Below are 15119 nucleotides of genomic sequence, written 5' to 3'. Positions count from 1 at the left end.
GGAATAAGCCAAATCTGGGTTGGGTCCTGGTTTTGCTACTTAAAAAAATCAGTTATCTTGAGCTAACTTAGTTTCCTTATCTGTAAATTTAGGAAATAATATTAAGTACCTTTCTTACACGGTTGTGAAGATTTAACCAGATAAATTAAATGAGGTAATGCAGTGTCTAGCATGTATTAAATGCTCCATAAATGTTACTGACTTTTATTATTCTAAAATCTGATCAGGTCATTTTTCAATTTGTCACATTGGATGATACCCACTGCCTTCACGATACAATCTAAGCTCCTCACAAGGCCGTTCAGCATCTGGCCCCCAGTCCAACTCTTCAAATTCATCTGCCAGCTGGTCATTTGTAGCAGCTCACACCTGTAATCCCAGCACTTTGAGAGGCCGAGGCAGGGCGATCACTTGAGGTCAGGAGTTTGAGACCAGCCTGGCCAACATGGTGAAATGCCTGGCTAGTGTAGAGATGGGGTCTCACTTTGTTGCTCAGGCTGGTCTCAAGCTCCTGGGCTCAAGTGATCCTTCCATCCTGGCCTCCCAAAGTGCTGGGATTACAGGCATGAGCCACTGTGCCCAAGCAAAAGGTTGTTTATGCTGTTTTCTAGCTTCAGTGAACTCCTACCTGTTAAGATCTAGCCTTCCCTGAACTTTCCACAAAGAGTCAGCATATCCTCCTCTGTGCTCAGAACCTACTTATCTCTAGTGCTCGTCAATCACATTGTATTGCAGTCAGTGGAAGTGAGAGAATTCATATAAAGTATTCAGTATAGTAATAACTTATTTTTATTAAGTACATGTTGATGGGTCTGTAACCTCACTGATGGCAAATTCCCTAAGATAGAGCCTGCACTGAATTCTTTTCTGCATTCCAAGGGCTTCACAAATTAGGGAACAGATGAACAAACTGGCTCCAAATTCAGTGCTCTTCCTATTGTATCAAACAACCTAACCACACAAGCAGTCAATCTGGGAAAATGCCTAAAGGTTTTGGGCAAGGCTCTGACTTTAGCATTTTAGAAGATAAATCTTAAACATACCAGGAAACTTGGAAGTTACTCTACATTAATCCTTTACCTGATGCAGTAATCCCTGATTCCTATATGTCTCTGGGGTACCCCTTTCCATTGCTGGAAAACTGTCAGAAACCTTTTCTTGAACAGAAACAAACAGCTACCAGTGATTTTCATGGGACTCTGGCTTTCTAAAGTTATACTTCTACAATGTTTTATTTTAAGTATTTCTTTTGAAATCACAAAAAGGTATTTTTGTAGAAGGAACTACTTTTTCACCTATTAAATCAAAACCTTTCTCACTGTAACTTCTGCCCACTGGACTAATTATGTCTTTCAGGGGTATTAAGAACAATCTGCTCTCTTTTATATGTGAGAAACTTTCTACTACTTGACAACAATAATCATGATCATCTTTAGTCACCCTTTCTCTAGATTCAACTGTTCTCTGAAAATTTGTTTAAACTCCCTGCTCCTTCTTATTTCTAGACGAACACACTGATGTCCTTTTGATCATTAGCCCTGGGCCCTCAGCTCAGTTGGTACTACTCCAGAGAGAGAGGTCTTGGTCTGGAGGTAATAAGGGGTTCTGGACTGGGAAATTCTCTAGTGATGTGATGAGCTCTGCGGGGACAGGCATATCCTCTCTCTCCCAAACTGTATTAATGGATAACATGGAGCCGCTGTGGTCTGAGTGAGATGGCATCTGGCCACCTTAATCAAGAGGCTGATAGCAAAGGAAGCACTCGTGCAGGAAGCAGTGCTTAAGAACTCTCATGTGCTTTGGTCTTGGCCATCTCTGGATTACTTTACCTTTAGCCTCCCAGAGATTTTTTCACACCAGCGAGGACCAGGTCTCAAAACATGTAAGTCCCAACTAGAGAACTTCTCACCATGCAAATGGCTAAACCCATTGTGCAAGCCTCATACCTGTTTTCCCTTGGCTGAGGATAAATAGTCTGAAGGCTCTGCTTAAACCAGTATTTCCAGTAGAAGAAAGCCCGTCACAGCCACTGGAGCCACTTTTTGGCTTTGGGTAGCAAACCTCCTAGTCAAATACTTATGACTACTACCCATGGTGGAGCTTCGCGTAATACAACAAAGTAATATAATTTTGGATTTAGAAAAGGAACAGAAGTGACTTCCTTTGATACCAAGCAGGCTTCTCTCAGTATTGCAGGGGACTGAGGAGGAATCTAAGTCCCTCAGCTCTACCTTTGAGGGTGGGTAACAAGCAGTCTGTGAAGACTGAGAATACCACTAATGCCCTAATCTTAGCTTGGGATTACAAATCCAATACCAGGTGGAGGTTTTTTCAGAACCCCAGCACAAGGACACTCACATCTTGTAAAAGTTTCTCCAAATTATCTTGAAGTTCGTAGAAGTATTGTGATGTAATGAGGCCACTCCGAGATTTATCCAGGCAGTCTCGGGCCATCTCAATCACCTGATGATGAATAAAGCTCAGGGCTCCATCTGCCAAGGGCAGCACGCTGTCTGGAGTGTTGGAGGAAATAAACTCTGCTAGTCGCTCTTCCATTTGTGCGGTGGCCTGGGAAGAAAAGCAAGAAAGAAACACTTCCCTTCTAGTTCCAGCTCAGTTGGAGCTAAGCCTGAAGGACCTGGAAATAGCAAAATAATGGGCTCCCTCTGATCCTGGTTTCCTTAAACTGCCATTTGGGAAACCTGATAACTGAAGACATTAATAGATCACCTTCAAGTAAAGTCAACTCAAGATGCCTTAGCTTTATATTCAAGGCCCTCTTTCACCTGGTCTTGCCCATCTCCCCCAACTCCCTCCAGGGCAAGCTCTTTTGCTGTACGGACACACAGGTGTTTGCTATCTTCCTCCTTTACTATGCTGTTTCATGCCTGTCTGTTTATGCTCTTCCCAGTGTGTGGCTTTTTCACCCTGCCAAGCCTGCCTGACAAACTCCTAATTCTCCTTCTAATCTCAGTTCAAATATTGTGTCTCCTCTGGGAAGTCTTTCATTTCCCCAGGCAAATGGGTTTCCATTCCTCTGTTCTTCCACTGGACCTCCCAACTGTGTAAACTTAGTGTATGGGCACTGCTGGTTTCTAAACCGGGAAGTTTGTTAAGTGAGAGAGAGTTTCATTTAACTCAGGATCCTCTTACTTAACCTTAGGACCCAAGGGAGTTAGGCAGGTGCTTGGAGAGCTGCTTAGTGAACCTGTCTGGTCACAGATGGTGAGTTGGAATGGGGGGACTGTGGATAGGAACATGAGCCTGGCCTGGATCCCCAGCAGAGGAGAATGGAGGTCTGGCTCCAAACCTCTTAGGGACCTAACTACACAGTCATGTCAAAATGACAGATACACATCTGTGAACGAGTTCTTAGCTGCCTATCTAAGCTGTCTATCTAAGACTCTGCCTTATTTCTTTTGCTACCAGGTGGTGATTTCTGATTTCCAGTGTGTGTTTAGGCAAATGTATACCTACATACATATATATGTGGTGTGTCTACATGGAGAATGAAAGAGGAAGAGGGTGAAAAAGTGGGAGTAGAGGAGAAAGAAGGAAGTGAAGGAATCTTAACACATTTTCTCCAACAATAGTTCATCCTATAGGAAGGAACTGGAAACATGCCTATAAACACAAACATCCAATGCTACAAAAACACCTAACATACAAGGAGGAGGAGGACAAGCATGAGATACATTTCTCAACATTATATACTTGCAAACTTCATAAACACCATATACGTCAAAATGAATTGCTAGGTGTTTGTTCTGCCTCCTTCTTCATGCTTATTGTCTAGTGCCCACTCCAAAGCTGGAAAGCACAGACCACAGGGCACAGGTTCTGCAGTCCAGTATCCCCTCTCAGTCAGGAACAGGGCCTATCTTCAGGAGGCCAGGTCAGAGCGTACAGGCATGTGGTGTTGAAAAGGACATGCAAATGGGGCCAGGTACAGTGGCTGGCTCATGCCTGTAATCCCAGCACTTTGGGAGGCTGAGGCAGGTGGATCACCTGAGGTCAGGATTTCGAGACCAGCCTGGCCAACATGGCAAAACCCATCTCTACTAAAAATACAAAAATTAGCCGGGCGTGGTGGCGCATGCCTGTAGTCCCAGCATCTCGGGAGGCTGAGGCAGGAGAATTGTCTGAACCCCGGAGGCAGAGGGTGCAGTGAGCCGAGATGGTGCCATTGCACTCCAGCCTGGGTGACAGAGCAAGACTCCATCTCTTAACAAAAAAAGAGACATGCAAATGGGAAACAAGATCCTAGTTCCATATACAAGGAGGTTCACAGCCAAGCAGCAGAGTTACGAATGCTACTTCTCAGCTATCTCAGGATAACAACCTACTTTCCTTCCTCAGCATTTTCCTGCTTGAAAATGAAAATTCAGATGTTAGCAAGCAACTCTGAGATCTGTCTCCCACTCCTACTGCTCTCTCTGGCCTTCTTGCCAGTGCAGCCTACTTCTGTCTGTGTACTCTCTGACACCTGATAATGAGGTGCTGCTTAAGAAATCTCTATCAAATGAATATGCCACCAGAGGGCAAATCCTGTAATGAGTGAACCCTGACTCATGGATCCTCATGTGCACAGTGAGAAGTAAAGCCTCCAGTTCTTTCTTTCCTCTTTAATATATGGTGGGCTACCTTTCTGACATTCCCCTCTGGATAACTCTACTTCTGGGTAGTGAAGAAACAAAGGCTCTGCAAATACAGTTCCCAAACTCATAGCTTCCTGCTGTCTCCTTCTCAAGCAGTCTGGAAGCCCTTGTTGCTGTGTCCACAGCCTCCTGGCTGACTTTCTGTTCTTCTTCTTGGTTATCTCTGGAGGTAGCACTTCATTCCTTCACTCCAGAGTCTCCCATTGGGGCTGGCTGTAGGCAGCCACCCGGAGGGGTATTGCCACTCTCCTTTTAAATGGATCCTTACCTTTGGGAATCTTTCTTTGTAAACATGATTCATCATTATTATTTCACTGTCAAAGGATACTGGGGATCGTCCGGGACTAAAAAAGAAAGAAATGATTGTGTTACTTTAGTGCTATGGAACTATCAAGAAGAAAGATGGCCATCCCCAGAGACCCTGCCCCTCCCACCATCTTCAGCAGCTACATACTCCCACTTTAACGGGTACTGAGTTCTAGAGCCTTTCTTATTCCTGGAGTTTCCAGTGTACCTTGTTCAGTTCAAAATGGTACTATATGGAGCTAGGCTTGGTTTTCACAAAGACCTCTTCTAGGCTAGAAAGACCTAGAAAGGGACCTACTCCTAAGCTCACTGGTGGCTTTCCCAGGATAAACTCCCCTGGAGTAGGATTCTCTGTGTCTTCTTAGTTTTGGTCAATAGGGTTGGGTGTGCCCCAGCATATTCTTGGGAACAAAACAAATAAAAAAACTACCAAAGCAACCAAAGGAAGACGGTGCACACGTACATTTTTTTTCCAAACTAGCTGCAGCCATGGACCTAACTTGGGGATGAATGAGGCCAGTCCAGACTGTTGTGAGTTATACATCTGGGTGATTTACTGAAGGCAGCCGATATGTTTTCTGCCTTAATTTATTGTCTTCCCTGATAACCTAAATCTCCCCCTCTGGCTCATGTGTCATTGTATCTCCTTAAAAAAATTTCAAAGTTGGAGCCACACAGTTGAATGGGTATGTGGGTCTTGCCCAGTTTACTGCCCCTGACACATGATCCCAGATGTTCTAGGTTCACAACTGTCCCACTCTGTCTTTCTTCCCTGGAATGTGCCATGTTTTGCCTGCTGTACTGCTGCACATTACCAAGGATTTAAGAGTAATATAGCATGGATTTCTCTGAGCATCACTGTGGGCCTCTCAATCTCAACTGGCCTAAAAGGTACCCTTCTCTGTGTATGGGTTGTTGAGAACACCAAGACTCAGGTGTTCCTCTGTGACACAGAGAAAGGCACTGGAGCCTCAGATACCATCTTCATCAATCTCTACACCTGAACCAGTCATTGTGGTCTGGCCCAGCTTACTCCCTGTCACTCCTGGTGCAGTGCCAGCATTACCTGAGGGGATTCTTTCTGGGAGGAACTGCTGCTCCTCTGGGATCCTACCCTGCACATCTTAGCCAATTAATTACTTCTTAGGGACCCTGCAAAACTGAGCTCAGTCATTAAAGTCATGTTCATTTTAATCTCCATCACCTTCCTTAACCTAAAATTCTGGCACTGATTTACCAGCTAATGCCAAAGAGAATCGAAAATTAATCAGCAGCTGTTAAGGTTAGTTTGGTTTGATGAAGATGTGCCCAGGTGATTCACAGAATAAAGACATATTCAAATGGACATTTAATTCTGCTTTTGAAATGGGCTTCTTCCCCACGCCAGCAACCTGTCTTCAGCAGCAACTTTTTTAGCTGGCCTAGATCATACACCCAGGGCCAATGGGTTCTGGAGCCAGATAACCATCAGAATTGATGATACCATTGTTCTCCTTTTACCAGATGTAATCTAAAGTATATTTCTGCTGCTAACTACCTTTAAACAGAAAAAGAGAGGGACCACTTGACAGTATTGTTAAATACCTCCTGGGGTGATGGGTTGAGCTGTACCTGAAGCCAAAAATAGCTTGGGCTTTGTTGAACTTGACTCACTCAAGCTGGCCAATGTATTATGCCAGGGGTTAGCAAATTACAGCCTGCAGACTAACTATGGCCTGCTACTTTTTTTTTTTCTTTTGTAAATAAAGTTTATATATTATTTGTGGATACTTTCATACTACAACAGCAGAGTTGAGGAATGTGACAGAGATATATGGCCTATAAAGCCTAAAAATATTTACTATCTTGGCCCCTTATAGCATAGTGTGCCCACCTCTGTGTTATGCAAACAAGCTGAAATCCACATGCACTGGAACAGTGGGCAGAGAGCACCCTCACCTGAGGCTCCGGGAGCGAGGCCGCATGGCTGGGGACTGCCGTCCTTCCTCATCTGGTACGCTCTCTGTGCTGAAATGCTTCGTCAAAAAGTGCAGCTCATCAGCTGTAGGCTGGAAAGGCAACTGATGCAGCTTTTCCTGTGAGGAGCATGATGACTAGAGGGGAAAACATTAAGAAGTGGCATTAAAGACATGTCCCAGAGCAGTCCAAGAATGGGGAAGGACTGAAAATGGTCAGGGAACTTCCCAGTCACTATAAACCCAAAGCAGGTCTTCTTTCCCCTACTCCCTTAGCCTTGCCTGTGCTTGATCCTGTTTTTCTCCAGCCCTTCAGAGCCCTCAGCCCTGAGGAATTCAATATACTGGAGTCCTTCAAGGGTTGTGCAGGGAGTTGGGCCCAGACCTTCATGGAATTTTAGAGCTGCAAAAGTAGTTAATAAATCATGCTTCCTCACTTGGGACATGTTTTAGGTGTACCCAGCTGCAAATAACATCCTCTTAAGTTCGCCCTTCCACAATCTTGAGAGAGCCACCCTGGGGGCAGCTCAGCAATGTTTCCTTTTGGCTGCTATCTGGAGGAGAAGTGCCTTTGCTGGGGCTGTGAAGGCTGTGCCCAGACTCACTCAAGCTGGCCAATGTATTGTGCCAGGGGTTAGCAAACTACAGCCTGCAGACCAACTATGGCCTGATGTCCAGCAGGCAAGAAAATCCAGCAGGGAAGAAAATTACTTTTACATCTGGACCTGAAGATTAGGCTTGACCTGAAAACACTCATGAATTCTAAACATGGCTCAGTGACTGAGGATTCCTCACAACAGCACTGCCAATCTCAACAGGCCATCTGAGGGAGGGTGCTCGGCTATCACAGGACTTCTACAGGCGCAGCTAATGCTGAAGCACCCATTCAGTCCCAGGATCAGGGAACTCCCCCCTCCATTACCTGACAAGACTGACAAAGAGAACAGGCAAGTCAGGGCCAGCCCAAGTTCTATTTACCAAACTAATCAATGATCTGGGGTTTTTTTTTTTTTTTTGAGACAGAGTTTCGCTCTTGTTGCCCAGGCTGGAGTGCAATGGCACGATCTTGGCTCACTGCAACCTCCGCCTCCCAGGTTCAAGTGACTCTCCTGCCTCAGCCTCCTGAGTAGTTGAGATTACAGGCATGTGCCACCATGCCCGGGTAATTTTGTATTTTTAATAAAGATGGGGTTTTTCCACGTTGGTCAGGCTGGTCTGGAACTCCCGACCTCAGGTGATCTGCCCGCCTTGGCCTCCCAAAGTGCTGGGATTACAGGCGTGAGCCACCGCGCCCAGCCTGTTTGTTTTTTTAGAGACAGGATTCTGTTCTGTTGTCCTGGCTGGAGTGCAGTGGCGTTATCATAGCTCACTGCTGCCTCAAACTTCTGGGCTCAAGTGATCCTCATGCCTCAGCCTCCCAAGCAGCTGAAACTGCAGGTGCATGCCACCATGTCCAGCTATTTTTTTTTTAAGTGACAGGGTCTTGCTGTGTTGTCCAGGCTGGTCTTTTGGAACTCCTGCTTTGACCTCTCAAAGTGCTGAGATTATAGGCCTGAGCTACTGCTCCCAGAGCCAAGGTTTAAATATCTAAATCCATTTAAGAATCAAAGCTAAAGCACCACACTGAGATAACTCTGTTGTCACAGGCTCAATAAACAAGTGAGAAATCAGCATTTCTTTTTTGCTAACAGTGCACATTTTCTCTCATAGAATGCTATAATACATGAAGTTATAAACAGCGAGTGAGATGTCTCCACAGGGTTATTTCTTGGCCCCATTTTAATAAATGATTTGGATCAAAGTTGCAAAAAATATTCTTACCAGCTATAGCTAACATGAAACTAGTGAGGCAATGTAAACTACAGTGGGCAAAACTGGTATTTTAAAGAATCCTAATAAGCTGGAGCAATGAGTTAAGTCTTAAAATTTGCAGATGAGACTTACCTTGGTTCTAAAAAAATCACTTGTTTGAGTGAAGAGTTATGGGAAAGGGGATTTTTTTTTTTTTTTTTTTTTTGAGATAGTCTTGCTCTGTCACCCAGGCTGGAGTGCAGTGGTGTGATCTCGGCTCATGGCAATCTCCGCCTCCTGGGTTCAAGCGATTCTCCTGCCTCAGCCTCCTGAGACGCTGGGACTACAGGCGCCCACCACCACGCCCAGCTAATTTTTTGTATTTTTAGTGGAGACGGGGTTTCACCATGTTAGCCACGATGGTCTCGATCTCCTGACCTTGCGATCAGCCTGCCTCAGCCTCCCAAAGTGCCAGGATTACAGGTGTGAGCCACTGCGCCTGGCCCGGGAAGGGGAATGTTTATTAGAGAAAGATCTTAAACTTAACAGTTGCCAAAGACCAATGACATCTTTGGATTAATGTGATAGTAGTATCTAGGTTGGGAGAGGAAATGTACTCCTTTTCCCTGCTCGAGATTCAGGAATAAAGGCACACTGAGCAGGGAAGACCTGAAGAATGCTGCAAGTAATGGGGATGGGGTCAGCAGGTCTACGGCCTGCTTCTGTATGGCCTTCAAAGACTAAAACATTTACTCCACGTTGGGCTCTTTACAGAAAAAGTTGGCCAACCTTGTCACTGTGGTTTTAATAAAAAGTTGCTCGGCTGGGTGTGGCAGTTCACGCCTGTAATCCTAGCACTTTGGGAAGCCAAGGCAGATGGATCGCTTGAGCCCAGAAATTTGGGACCAGCCTGGGAAACATGATGAAACCCCCTCTCTACAAAAAATTAGCCTGCTACAGGGTGGTGGCATGCCCCTGCAGTCCCAGTCTACTTAGGAGAATGAGGTGGGAGGATCATCTGAGCCTGGGGAGGTTGAAGCTGCAGCGAGCCGTGATTGCGCCACTGCACTCCAGCCTGGGTGACAGTGACACTCTTTCAAAAAAAAAAAAGTTGCTCAATGAGGGCTTAAGGGTCAATTGTGCATAGCAGCAATTAGTACAGCTCTTGTGTTTTAGGCTAAAACATTCTCCAAAAGAAATAAACGTTTTAGAGACAGGTCCAGCTTTTTGCTTCATATGCATCAAACTTGGATATCAAATAACAATCACTCTTCCCTTCTTTTTTGAAAGAAAAAGGTGAAAAAGAGGGGAGAGTCTACCAAGTGCTTCAGATATGAGAAAGGTGATCTGCTCTTGGTTCCAGTTCTAGAAATAAGGATGGAGGAGTAGGGGAAGTGTGCTTAGGAGTCCCCATATCTGGTCTCACTGTCAAAGCAAAAGTTCATCCTCAAGCTCTCCTCTGCCTCCACTAGAAGTAACTGATTCCCAGAGAGGGCACTGGTCATCCTTTCCGAAGGCACTTATGGAGCTGGCTATGGTTGGGAAGGGACCCCAGCCCTCTGTTGCACCCAACATCATCTCTCAGCAACCTCTCTGAGTTTGACTTTGGAGAAAAAGTTGAGAACCATTTTGTGACACTAGATAACCCAAAGGGAAGTACTTCCTTAGGGTGAAGGAAGTATGGCCACAGATTTGGCTACTTACTGAGACAGTGGAGCTAGGAGTGTTAGTTCCATATCCTGAAGAGGGCAAAGAGGCCAAAGACCAGCGCCGCCCATCAGTCCTGTATGCAAGAAAAAGTATTAGGCAGTTTCTGCAGGACTACACCCTGACCCACAACCTGCCTGTCTGTTCATCAGCATTTTGGGGGCAGTTGATTCACTGTAGGGCTCCTCCTTAAGACATTACTGCTCAGTCCAGTACATGCTTTTATATCTCTCCCCTACAGAGGGCTTATTGTTGTTTTCCCTGCAAAGACAGACATCTCTGACTATAAAATAGTCCATAACTTTGTATAACAGAAGAACATCTGTCATATAATACTGTGGTTTTGGAATATATATTTTCATACTCTCAACTTACTTTCATAGAAACAATGACAGAGGATTCCAGCTATAGGCAACATTACAAGATAGAACTGCCACTGAAATGCAGCTATTTCCATTTGTGAAGGCTCCGTGTTAAGGGCTCTTTGGTCTTCCCCAGGCCACTGGCTGACAACAGGAAGAAGTGGGCCACCATCTGGGTCTGAACTGAGCTAATCAATGGGAAACAGTTATAGGCTGCCTAGGAGCCGTTAGGACTCATAAAACCAATATTTGGGAATGTCTGTCGAAGAGTGACAGTAACTTTATGAAAGAGAAGGGAGGTGACATACCCTTAGCTGTATATGAGACTTTGGGGGAGGCTTCCTGCTGCTCTCAAAAGGATGCTCCCCACAGCTCTCATCAAAACAAACAAACAAAACATGCCCCCCCACCCCGCCACAGTTATTTGCTTTACTGTAGAGGGGAAAGATCAAGCAGGGATCTAGTTTGAAACTTTTATAATATGAACGTGTGATTCTTTGCCTGGACTGTGGGATGTGGTGTATTCTTTTTTGTAGAGCTTAAGGGTACAGCCTGCTCTGGTTGAAGTTAGATACAAAGTTTTTTTGCTGTTACTCACAGAACCTGAGACTATCAGCAATGGAGGATCTTTATAAGTTCATATTACAATTTACAGAGAAAACACTAAGATCCTGAGATTTGGGTGGTTTGTTCAAGGCTTCATGGTTATGGCAGGGACAGGGAGAAGAAGAAGCAAAAAGGAATAAATCTTGCTGGGGCTTCTCCCTTCGAAGCACTCCTCCCCACCCTCACCAATACCTAGCAGCTTTTCTACTCTGTTCTGTAAGGGGTGAGCCGCAGGTTCCATGCCACATGCACATGACTCAAACTTCATGCCACCCTGGCAGCAGCACATATAGGCTATAACTCTGCTGGAACCTAGTCTCTGAGGTTCAGACATGTCCAGGAAGGTGCTCAGACATGATGTTCTCTTTGACCTCTTTGCTGGGTCCTGGGAGCACCACACAATAAAACAAGTCGGTTCCAGGAAATAGCTCAGCAAAGATGAGACAAGTATAACTCAGGGATGGATTTCCCAAACCCTTGTCAAATACACTTTTGTACATGTGAGTTTTCCTCCCCTTAGATAGAAATGAAAACTAGCTGCATGGCAGCAATTTCTCTGTATAATGAACAGCAGGGGCCACCAGAGTCAGGAAGAAATGCCACCACATGATGCCTCTATTTCCTCTATCTGGTCACTGCAGTCATCTGACTGTGCAAAGCTGTGGGAATAAGGGTGACTTGTCCCTAAGCTCAGAAGTTTGGAACTATTCAGCAATTCCTGCCTCCAAGCATATGAGCTCTGAGCCTTGGTTCCAGCAGGTAGAGGGAGATCCCTTTGGGCCTCTTTGCAAGACATGAAAGGCCCAATGTTCATACCCACAGTCAGAGAAGAATCATCACAACCAGTTTTCACCAACCACAACATCACAAACCATATTGTCTGGCCATGCATAGCAGTTTCCCAGCCCCTCTCCCCATTATACCCGCTATTACCTGTCAGCTCTGTGGCTATGGCTGTAGTAAAAAAATACACATTATAGTGAGAACCAAAGGAACCAGAGAGAGTGATCTTTTTGAATCTTGGTATTTGGTCTAGCTTGGCACATTCCTTCTGTTTAGGAATGTGTGATAGTTTGAAGTGAAATTGTAGGACCAATGGGTCTATCCTTAGTGTTCAATTCAATCTGTCTTTTGTTTGACATTGCAAACCAATGTGATCCTCCAAAGCGCCAGCCAGTAACACAGAAACAAACGATTCCTGATACTCTGTTTGGCAGGGTTGAAACACTTCTCCCCATCCCACCAATAACCAGCAGCTTTTCTTACTATGTTGTATAAGAGGACAGCCCAGAGATCCATGTTCCATGCACATGACTCAAATGTCATGCCACTTAGCATAGACCTGTTTGGGTCTCAGTGGTAAAAAACCAGGCCCTGAAGCCTCCTAGTTGGTCCTACTCCTAAACCCAGGCAATGAAACAGACCCATGGTATCAATGGAACAGGCTGTTCCCTCTGCCTGGAATGGTCTACACACACCTGGGTCCTCGCACCTAACATGGCAGCTGCTTCTCATCCTTCAGAGAGGCTTTACATAGCCACCCAGTGGAGGTTCTCTGGCTTTAGTCTCTTCCTGTTCTTTTTTTGTTTTGTTTTGTTTCAGATGGAGTCTTGCTCTGTCGCCCAGGCTGGAGTGCAGTGGCACGATCTCGGCTCACTGCAACCTCTGCCTCCCGGATTCAAGTGATTCTCCTGCCTCAGCCTCCCGAGCAGCTAGGATTACAGACCTGCACCACCATGCCCGGCTAATTTTTGTATTTTTAGTAGAGATGGTGTTTCACCATGTTGGCCAGGCTGGTCTCAATCTCCCGACTTCAAGTGATATGCCTGCTTCGGCCTCCCAAAGTGCTGGGATTACAGGCGTGAGCCACTGTGCCCGGCCCTCTTCCTGTTCTTTCATGCAGCATCATGCTCTTTCCCTCTATGGTGCTTGTCATAATTTATAAACATATATTTGTTTGTCTTTCTCTCCCACTACTCATTTGTCTTCCCGCCAGGACACAGCTTTCAACAAATGAAGGTATCTCTATTAAAGGTGACTTGACTGTGGTTGAATTGAGACAGAAAATATGCAAATAAGATAATATCAGGAATTGAAAAGTACTAGTTTGAAAATAAAATTGGATGATTTGATGGAGAAAGACAAGAAGGCCCCTTTAGATTGAATGTTTAGGGAAGGCCTCTCTGAGGAGGTGACATTTAAGATGAGATATGAATCATAACAATGAGTTAGCTAAATGAAGATCTGAGGGAACAGCATTCCTTACAGAGGAAACAACCAGTACACAGACTCTCCTACATCCTGAGTTTCAGGGAAGTAGGGACTATGTCTATTTTGTTACCACTACATAACTAAGCACCCAGCCGAGTGCGCCTGACTCTAGTTGGTGGTGCTCAGCAAATATTTATCAAATGAATGAGAAATAACTCAATGCCACCTATGGGGATCTAGCCACAGGTCTTGGTGTCCCAGCTCGTACCTACTCTGAGAGTACAGTTTATATATAGTCCAGGCAAGAAGTCTGGGATAAGTCTTTCCAGCTGGGTTGGACAAACAAATGCATCAAACCAGCATATTCTTATACTGTAAGTGATCTTATCTGGATCCTTGCTTAACAAATTGGAAGTTCCATAGGGTAGGAGAGATGAGCCCGTGGAACAAACCTGGATAAAATTTGTTTTGAATAAGGTAAGTGGGTTGAAGGAGGAAACCCACGTCAGCTATCAAACTTATCCCAACCTGTTCATGTTCTTTTCAGCTGCAAAGAATCCTGGAAAGAGGATGGATTTATTTTGGGTTATCATTGGAATAGTGAGTTAACACCATTTCCAGGAGCCTCTCTTTTTCCTAATATGTCTTTTTTTAAAAAGTAGTCTAAGTAGGCCGGGCACGGTGGCTCATGCCTGTAATCCCAGCACTTTGGGAGGCCGAGGCGGGTGGATCACGAGGTCAGGAGATCAAGACCATCCTGGCTAACACGGTGGAACCCCGTCTCTATCAAAAATACAAAAAAAGAAATTAGCTCGGAATGATGGCGGGCGCCTGTAGTCCCAGCTACTCGGGAGGCTGAGGCAGGAGAATGGCGTGAACCCGGGAGGCGGAGTTTGCAGTGAGCCGAGATCATGCCACAGCACTCCAGCCTGGGTGACAGAGTGAGACTCCGTCTCAAAAAAAAAAAAAAAGTAGTCTAAGTATTAAAACTGTCCTGGTCTCCAGCTATATTACATTCTCCATCCATTAAAGGTTACAAATCTGGAACCATAATTTTCCTGGAGGTCTTATACCAGGGACTAACTCTAACCAAGAACAATTTTAAAAATTAAAAAATAAAATAAAATAAATATAAACTCTGGCAAAGAATCTTAGAAAAGTTCTGACAAGAAATCATGTGTGTATAGAGCCTAGGTATGTGATTTGGATGGATTAATCTCATTCAGCTTTCTCTAAAGGCCTGATGATATTCCAGCCACAGGCAGAGCTGTCAGCGTTGCTGCCATGGGCCAGAGACAGGTTTGTTATCACTCTCAAGAGGGAAGAAACATGGGAGGAGGACTGTAAGCATGGCTCTGTATGCACCAAATCTTTCTAAATTCATAGAAGGAAAAGTGAAGTCCCTGTAGTGTCTTTATCCCCCAAACGAACTCCAGCTCAAAGTCAAGGAGAGAGGCACAAAGAGCCCTTTCAGCTGCTTTAAACTAGCTGAGTTAGAGAGGACAAAGAGTATAACTTTGGGT

General features: G+C 45.0%; 1 protein-coding gene across 34 annotated transcripts in view, besides 1 other annotated feature; it reads right to left on the bottom strand.

The window, feature by feature from the left end:
• Positions 1–15119, bottom strand: part of MAST2 (microtubule associated serine/threonine kinase 2) — a 232511-nt gene that overhangs the window by 22825 nt on the left and 194567 nt on the right. For 20 of the 34 annotated variants that reach the window (XM_011541059.3, XM_011541069.3, XM_011541061.3 and 17 more), the window contains 5 exons: positions 12319–12339; positions 10415–10493; positions 6903–7057; positions 4927–5002; positions 2359–2568 (listed from right to left, as the gene is read on the bottom strand). In XM_011541059.3, coding sequence (XP_011539361.1) covers positions 2359–2568; positions 4927–5002; positions 6903–7057; positions 10415–10493; positions 12319–12339 — 541 coding nt within the window. The remainder of the gene's footprint in view (positions 1–2358; positions 2569–4926; positions 5003–6902; positions 7058–10414; positions 10494–12318; positions 12340–15119) is intronic. The other 14 variants (XM_011541062.3, XM_047450142.1, XM_047450096.1 and 11 more) reach the window with 1 other exon arrangement.
• Positions 574–774: a silencer, noted in NCBI's record as "peak202 fragment used in MPRA reporter construct". NCBI's record gives its function as "represses an SCP1 promoter by STARR-seq MPRAs in K562 erythroleukemia cells {active_cell/tissue: K562}" and the evidence as "EXISTENCE:reporter gene assay evidence [ECO:0000049][PMID:32103011]".

Source organism: Homo sapiens, chromosome 1 (genome assembly GCF_000001405.40).
Source record: "Homo sapiens chromosome 1, GRCh38.p14 Primary Assembly".
NCBI classification, from domain to species: Eukaryota; Metazoa; Chordata; class Mammalia; order Primates; family Hominidae; genus Homo; species Homo sapiens.
The sequence above is the reverse complement of the archived record's forward strand: the minus strand, read 5'-3'. Positions and strand labels throughout refer to the sequence as shown.